The sequence below is a fragment of the Homo sapiens genome, chromosome 10 (assembly GCF_000001405.40).
Source record: "Homo sapiens chromosome 10, GRCh38.p14 Primary Assembly".
Taxonomy (NCBI): Eukaryota; Metazoa; Chordata; class Mammalia; order Primates; family Hominidae; genus Homo; species Homo sapiens.
The window spans coordinates 123,091,942-123,094,579 of NC_000010.11; the positions used below are offsets into that span (position 1 = coordinate 123,091,942).

Sequence of the window (2,638 nt, forward strand, 5' to 3'; positions counted from 1 at the left end):
TTTCCTCACTAGTTGAGAAGCTGGACAAGATGACGCTAAGGTACGACTATCAGGTTCTATTCTATGAAGGCGTCAAAGCTTATCCTCAGGGATCCATTTCTAGTGGTGAGCTTTCAGACAATGAGTGGGCTGATATTTCTCAGCAAGTCACCTCCAGGAAACACTGAAAGCCTACATGTAGGTGACAGAGGCTCAACCTACACCCCATGTCCCCAACCTCATTAAGCACAGCCTCAACAACAACATGCTTTTCTGCAGGAAGATGTAGGTGGAAGCGTACAGGGAGCCTTTTCCCAGCTTGAAGCACCACTGGGGCAAAGGAGCTGTTCATCTTCCACCAGGGTCTGAGTGGAAGGGTCCCCTGAATACAACAGCCTTTCTTCTCTGAAGGTTATCTGCTAAGCACCAAACTTTGAGAGCTGCCAGCCATGACTGCCCCAGCGAGGGCAGACACAGGCCCAACCGCGATGGAAAGGGAGGCCGAGTTCTATTTTATCTCTGGCTGCGTCAGCCCCTTTAAATGTCCTCAATTCCCCTACTTGGAAAGTCCCTGGATAACACGTTATTTAAATGAACCTATTCCACATCTTCCATGGTTACTTACTTTTCTCAATGACGAATCTTAAAACGGATTGTCTGTAAAAGATCATCTGTACTTTACCAATATCCAGGCTCCCCCTCCCCAAAAAAACTGTCAGAGGTACACCACGTGTGTGAAACTAGTCGATTTCCTTAATTCATCCCTGGAGAATGGATAAGTCTATCAATCTATTAAATTGGAAAGCCATTAGGAGGCCTGGTTTATGCGTTTCAAGCTGTTAACTAGAAGTTGATTGATTGTTGTTCCTCTGATAGGATATGCTGATCTAATCTCACTGTGCTCCAGTTTGCAATAAATTACACAATTCATTTCCTCCATTTAGAGAGAGAAAATCACACCTCCAGGCATGCCTGCTTCAGAGGCAAAGAGCAGGAAGCCTATTTTATGGTGCCATTTAGCCTGCAAGCTTTCAGCAATCCTTGCCTCCAAAAAATCGAAGCATAATCAAGGTGTATGTTTGGAAAATTTATTGTTATAATTTTCCCCAAGTAATCTCCTCCATTTTCCAGGCGCTCCAACGGCATAAGTCATCATCTAAAAGAGAAAATGAATAGCAGTTTAAAATTTATCGGTCTTTGATTCTCAATTATACGTGTTTATGACTTCATCTGTCTTCAGTGACTTCAACCTTTTCCATTATGGTGGAATATTATTTGTACGGGATCCATTAAATTCACAATCCAGCCCTAATGGTAGGCTGTAGCGTTTCCAGAAGAAAATTTTTGAAAGGTGGTTTGCAGAAAGCGAAGCTGTTATGACACTAGAAATTGCTTTATTGATAGCCTCGCCTCTCGCCTGAACATTTTGCAATTTGTAACCTGGCCCATATCTATATTTCAGGCTGACGTTGATAAGAACCCTTCTGCCCCCCACACCAGATTACACTTTGTAATGACATGGAGAATGCAGGGTGGGGAGGGGGACCGAGAAGGGCAGCCACCTTCTTCCTCCTCCCTGTCCCCAGCTGTCCTCCTCCTCCTCTCCATTGAGAAGGAAGATGGTGGAAGGGGATTGTGTCTTGCTGTGCTCCTGGTCTTTGCTGGCCTTGATCCCCATGATGCCTCAGGCTCAGCCTCTCCATGAATGTCGACCAGGGAGTCTCTTGTAATGGAGGTCTCTTGGGCCCGACCCTGTCCAGCACCCGACCCTGTCCAGCACCATGGTCCTGAACCTCTGACACGGGGAGAGCCTGGGCCTTTTCTGGTGGAGTGGAAAGAATTGAGCTAGAGATGTCCAGTAGGCTGGACACTTCTCTCTGGATCTGATCTTTTGGTGACAGAATATACTTTGGGGAGAAGCAAGTTCAAGTTAAATTCAGGCTTAAGCCCCAATCTTGGCCTCTCCTCACACACATGCAGACTCAATGTGCTCCCTGCCTTCCCTGGCAACTTGTTCTTTGAGGGGAAAGATCCAATTCTTAGAAAGAATCTCCCAGCTGAGTCCAAATGCACCATGATTGGCTCTGAGCCAGACCTCAGCAGTTCCCCCCATGGCTTGCATTCAGCAGGGGTGTAACTCTCCTCACATGCCAGCGCCCCAGCTCTGAGCACTCTCCACCGTTCCCACGTCCTTCACAAGCAGCAATCAGAACAACTGCCACGCCATGCTCACGAATCCACCTGCAGCTTTGCAAAGAGTACATCATGCTTTCTGTTAAAGATGAAACACCGAGGCTCGGAAAGGGCACAGCCGTTCCTCGAGATCATGCAGCTACAGCCAGGGCTTAAGTGCAGGTCTGCTGACAACCAAGTTCTTGCCCTCTCTACACTGAACTCCTTGTTCAGTATCTACTTAAAGTCAGTTCTTCTTTCCTTATTTTTCTCCCTCCCTCCTTCCTTCCTTTCCTTCTCCCCTCCCTGTTCTCTTTCTCTTCCTCCCTCCTTCCCTCCCTCTCTTTCTCTTCCTCTCTCCTTCTTATCTTTCTCCCTCCCTCCCATATTTGTTGAGCATTTACCTCAGCCCAGAAAGTCACAAAGGTAAGAAAGGTTACAAAGCCCAGAAGGCTACAAAGCAGCTGCTCTTGAAGACCTTGTAAAC

General features: G+C 47.0%; 1 annotated feature.

Annotated features, from left to right (window-relative positions):
• Window positions 356–1,614: an enhancer, noted in NCBI's record as "VISTA enhancer hs329". NCBI's record gives its function as "enhancer in: limb[5/5]" and the evidence as "EXISTENCE:transgenic organism evidence [ECO:0001131][PMID:17130149]".